Raw genomic sequence first — 6,167 nt, 5'->3', positions numbered from 1 at the left:
CACTGGGACGATTATCCCTTGGGTCAAGCAAGAATCCTTCAATAATCAGAGGGTTAAAGGAAAAGTGTCAAGAAACAATAAAATAATACATTGAGCTGGATAAATTTGAAAACACATTTCAGATCAGATGAAGGTAAAAGGAGAAGGCGTGCTGACAGGTAAAATTATGGCATTAAATTAAAACATGGGAAAAGAGAATACATTTCAATAATGTACACTTCCATTTTAATAACTTGTATAGAGAAGGGCAAAAATAATCCAAAGCAAGCAAAAGGAAAAAAAATAAAGTATACAAATCTATCAAATAGAAAAGAGAAACAATAGATAAAAATCAATGAAACAGGCTGGACATGGTGGGTCACCACCTGTAATCGCAGCACTTTGGGAGGCCAACACAAGCAGATCACTTGAGATCAGGAGTTCAAGGCTAGCCTGGTCAACATGGTGAAACCCCATCTCCACTAAAAATAAATACAAAATTTAGCCAGGTTGGAGGCAGGTGCCTGTAATCCCAGCTACTTGGCAGACTGAGGCAGGAGAATCACTTGAACCTGGGATGCGGAGGTTGCAGTGAGCCAAGAGTATGCCACTGCACTCCAGCCTGGGCAACACAGTGAGACTTCATCTTAAAAAAAAAAAAAAAAAAAGTCATTGAAACACAGAATGGTTGTGTAAAGATTGATAAAATTGACCAACCTCTTTCTAGTAAGACTGACAAAGATGAAGAAATAAATATCATGATCAGGATAAAACAGGGTATTCTGCTTTACAGACCCTATACACCTTACACACACATACATACACACTCAATATGGGAATACTATAAATAATTATACACACATAAATTTGAATCTTTGACAAAATGGACACATTTCTCAGAAAGCACACAGATGCTGGGCATGGTGGCTCACCCTTGTAACCTCAACACTTTGGGAGGCTGAGGCAGGAGGACTGCTTGAGCCCAGTTAAAAACCAGCCTGGGCAAAATGGTGAGACACCATCTCTACAAATAAGTTTAAAAAAAAAATTACCATGGTGTTGGGAGCAAGCCCCCCAAAATCTGGCCATAAACTGGCCCCAAGACTGGCCATAAACAAAATTTCTGCAGCAGTGTAACATGTTCATAATGGCCCTAACGCCCAAGCTGGAAGGTTGTGGGTTTACGGGAATGAGGGCAAGGAACACCTGGCCCACCCAGGGCGGAAAACCGCTGAACGACGTTTTTAAGCCACAAACAATAGCATGAGCGATCTGTGTCTTAAGGGCGTGTTCCTGCTGCAGTTAACTAACCAAACCTATTCCTTTAATTTGGCCCATCCCTTTGTTTCCCTTAAGGGATACTTTTAGTTAATTTAATATCTATAGAAACAATGCTAATGCCTGGTTTGCTGTTAATAAATATGTGAGTAAATCTCTGTTCGGGGCACTCAGCTCTGAAGGCTGAGACCCCTGATTTCCCATTTCACACCTCTATATCTGTGTGTGTGTGTCTTTAATTCCTCCAGCGCCCGCTGGGTTAGGGTCTCCCCGACTGAACTGGTCTCAGCACCCTGGCATGGTGGTGTGTGGCTGTGGTCCCAGCTACTTGGGATACTGAGGCAGGAAGCTCACCTGAGCTCAGGAGTTTGAGTCTATTGAGAGCCATGATTATGTCACCACACTCCAGACTGAATGACAGACTGAGACTTTGTCTCAAAACAAAACAAAAACCAACAGACACAGCACTTCCACCCATCGATAGAGATACTTTAAATTGTCCCATAACTATTCACAGAATTAAATGTATAATTTAAAATGTTGACTCCTAAAAAAAAAACTCAAAAGATACCATCTAAAGAAATAACATCAATTCTACCTAATCCTATGAAAAATAGAAGATAATCTACCATATATCTTTAAGAACATAATTCTACATAATCTCTGAGAAAACAAGAGTTACAGCAAACACATTCCTAAGAGAGAATTCCATAGCAATGAACACACACATCAAAAAACAAGGAAGGCCGGGTACACTGGCTCACACCTGAGTACCACAGGTAAGTGCTATGTTCTTGGGCAACATATAAATTGTAACCTCTTTTGAGTTTAGCTTTCTTTCCTCTAAACCACTTCAGTGATACTCTTTCATGTTGCTCAATGTTTTAGAAGTGCTTTCCTTTTTATTGCTTGTGTGGTTTGTTTATGCCATATATCCTTTAAACTACCTCTCCTGATTTTCTTGCATGTACTGTTAGATCTGCCTGACTGTATTCAGAACATATCCATATATGTAACTGTATGGATACGTACACACTAATTCTTCACAAGTGACATTGTGCACTGGTAGGTATTTGGTTGACTTTCTTACTAGAAAAGGAACTATTGAAGATGGTCAATTTCTAGAAGTTTCCAATGCCTGTTTCAACACAGCCATCCCTAAAATCAAGGTCTTGGGACCCTTTCCAGGAATACATAAAAAGTCACAATTATTTTCACATGCAAACATTACCTGCCCTTTTCACCACACTGATGTTTGCACTGAAGGTGCAAAGGCACTGGTGGTTGAGACTCCTGGCTTCCTACCACGAATGGATCAAGGCAGTAGCACCAAACTGAAGTCATTTGTAATTTTCAAGATCATACAAGCTCCCCTAAAAGTCAATAGTGCCAGGCGTGGTGGCTCACACCTGTAACACCAGAAGTAAATAGCACCAGGCGTGGTGGCTCTCGCCTGTAATCCTAGCACTTTGGGAGGCCAGGGTGGGTAGATCATGAGGTCAGGAGATTGAAACAATCCTGGCTGACACGGTGAAACCCCATCTCTACTAAAAATACAAAAAATTAGTGGGCATGGTGGTGGGTGCCTATAGTCCCAACTATTCAGGACGCTGAGGCAGGAAAATGTCGTGAACCCGAGAGGCGGAGCTTGCAGTGAGCCAAGATAGCACCACTACACTCCAGCCTGGGGAACAGAGTGAGACTCCATCTCAAAAAAAAAAAAAAAAAGAAAAAAAAGAAAAGTAAATTGCAGGTTTCACTTAAGTGTATCTCCAGCACACAGGGAGAATGCCATGTGAAGGCTAGTTACGCTGCCACAAGCCAAGGAACTACCAGAACTGTGAGAGGCCTAAAACAGATCCCTCCTATCCACTGAGGGAGCATGGTCCTGTCAAGACCTTGATATTGGACTTTTGGCATCCAGTATTAGGAGACAACTAATTTCTGTATTTATTTTTGCGATGGAGTCTTGCTCTGTTGCTCAAGCTAGAGTGCAGTGGCATGATCTCAGCTCACTGCAACCTTTCCCTCATTGGTTCAAGCGATTTTCCTGCCTCAGCCTCCCAAGTAGCTGGGATTACAGGTGCCTGCCACCATGCCTGGCTCCATTTTTGGATTTTTAATAGAGATGGAGTTTCACCATGTTGACCAGACTGGTCTTGAACTCCTGGCCTTGTGACCCACCCACCTTGGCCTCCCAAAGTGCTGGGATGACAGGCGTTCATGGCACCAGGGCTTCATTTGTCTTACCCATTTTGTGGCTCAGCAAACTAATACAAATGGGAAGCATGCATCTATCCCTTTTTTATGGAGGAAATCTATCAACATGCCATTAACTTGCATTCTTGGTTGACTCTTTATTCTACTGACTCACAAATGTCAATGCTCAGGGAGGCCTTGTGGACTGCCTAAAGAGGTCTCTATCCCAGTTCCATTTTATTTATTCAGACTTGTCACTGGCACAACCTTGCTTAGTTCTGCTTTTTAAATCATGAATTTCCCACACCTGAGCTCAAGCTTTAGTGTTTTCTATCTGTTCTGTTCAGTGCATGTCAAACAGTAGGTACTCAAAAAATATGTCTCAAGAATAGAGATGAGAAAGTAATGTTTAATTCAGGAATAGATTTTTTTCTATGGTCAAGTGTTGTTGACACTGATGGTGCTCATTCCTTTCTTATTCCGCTTTTCCTCCCTTCTTCCATCTGTCTCTTAGGGCTGGGATTAAGTATTTGGACTTGTTGCATTAAGAGTCATGGGCCCCGAGTTATTTGCATTTGGATGAGTGTGTTTTTATATCAGTTTGTCTCAGTTGCCGATAGAAGGTGAGTTCTTAGTCCTACGCTGCCACCCCTCCCGGTAGGAAAGAGAGCTGGGAGGAAAATTAGACCTTCAAAGCCTGAGCACAAAGGCCTGAGGGCTCCATCTCTGACAGAAAAAGGCTGTCAGGTCCTGGGCCTGCGTAGGGCAAAGATTAGGACCAATGTGCAGACATATACTTAAGAGTTTAAGATATCAAACAATGAAGGAGCGGTATTTTGTGAGGGCAAGACTTGCTGTCTTTGAGCCCCAGGGCAAACCTGAAAGAGACTAGGAAACAAAGTCATGGATTCACAGTGTAGCTCTTTGAGCTCACCAGCTAGTTAAAATACAGGAAGACCAAACTCAAATAATAGGCAGTGGATGGAGAAGGTTAAGTCAGATAAATATTTCTGGGATAAAATCCTCCAACAGAGGAGTGACAGTGGCAATGGATAGGAAGAAATTTACCCAGCTGGTAATGTTTGGTGGCTGATTAGTTTACTTACATATAATTTAAAATTCACCCACTTACAGAAAGGATTTGAGGGAGATGATGACATGAAGGTGAGGAATAAGGTAACAATAACCCTAGGTTCTCAAGTGTGATGAGGAAAGGGATGTCCTTACATCCTGTCCTTACATCAGGGAGGAAGGGCTGGTAAGAGAAGACATTTTTGAGCAACATATTCAGTTTTAGATTTGTCAGTCATAAGGAGATGAAGGGACACTGAAATAGAGGTGCCTATGAGACTACAATAAACACAGTACTCAAGAGAATTCTTATCCCACCTTCTTTCCAGTGTAGTATCTTCGCTGCACTTGAGTCAAAATTTTGATTATCAGCCAGGCACAATGCCTGACGCCTGTAATCCCAGTACTTTGTCAGGCCAAAATGGGTAGATCACTTGAGATCAGGAGTTTGAGACCAGACAGGCCAATTTTGTATACTAAAAATACAAAAATCAGGTCAGGCATGGTGGTATGTGCCTCTAGTCCCAGCTACCTGGGAGGTTGAGAGGCACAAGAATTCCTTGAACCCAAGAGGGGGAGGCTGCAGTAAGCCAAGATTGCACTAGTAAACCTTAACCTGGACACGAGTGAGACTCTGCCTCAATTTAAAAAAAAACAAAAACCTGATTATCACAGGTGCATGCACACATACATCTGGCTCTGCCAGGGCCTCCTAAGGCTGTGTCTCCAGGGCCCATGGGGGGATCACCAAGCAACGGCGATCCACTCCTGGAGGCACCCTGGCCCCCCTACACCCCTACTCCCCTCCAGGGTCGGGAACCTGTCAGAGGCGGGCACTGGGGCCACAGAACAACTTGCCAGATGTCACCCCTGCTCCCAATACCATCTCTGCACTCTGCAACCTTGGGGACCTGGGAAGGCACCCCTCGTCCCCCAGGATCAGGCTGTCTGCTCCCACTGCCCTCTCCTGGCTCCCAGAGCCTGCTCCAATCCTGGCTGAGGAGTGGAGCTGCCCCATGGGTCTCCTCTGAGCTGTCCTGTTGCTCAATAAAGCTCCTGTCTTGCTCACCCTCCACTTGTCCACGTACCTCATTCTTCCTGGACGCAGGACAAGAACTCAGGACCCACCAAATGTCAATCCTAATATACCTGTAACACAAAAGAGCTGATACATTCCCCTTGGTTGCCACATTGCAGGCAATGAGGAAAGAAGCCCTGCAGTACTCTGGGGAGCCAAGACCTGGGAGCTCCCTGAGCCAGGGATGTGGGCTCCCCATTTGAGGCCGTGCAGTTCCTGGCATCTCCAAGCTTCTGAGTGCTAACGTGTTCCCCAGAGCCAGCTGTGGAAGCTGTTGTGGTACACCTGGTCCAGCTGCAGCTTTACAGAGAGCCAGCACCCATCCTGGCACCTGGAGCTGCCTGCCCAGCGGCAGCAGCCAACATGTGTGACTGCAGTGGCCAGACCTCATGCTTGTTCACATACCCCTCCTCACTGCTCCACGCCTGGTTTGCCCTTGGCAGGCATGGGATCCAGGCCAGTATTATACGCCAAGCACAGCCTGCGATGCCAAGTGGGCAGAACGAGCCCAGCAGGCCAAGCAAAACTCAGGCAAAGGCGCCACCAGCCATAGAAGTTTCTG

This window comes from Homo sapiens, chromosome Y, assembly GCF_000001405.40.
Source record: "Homo sapiens chromosome Y, GRCh38.p14 Primary Assembly".
NCBI lineage: Eukaryota > Metazoa > Chordata > Mammalia > Primates > Hominidae > Homo > Homo sapiens.
This window is presented reverse-complemented; position numbering follows the sequence as displayed.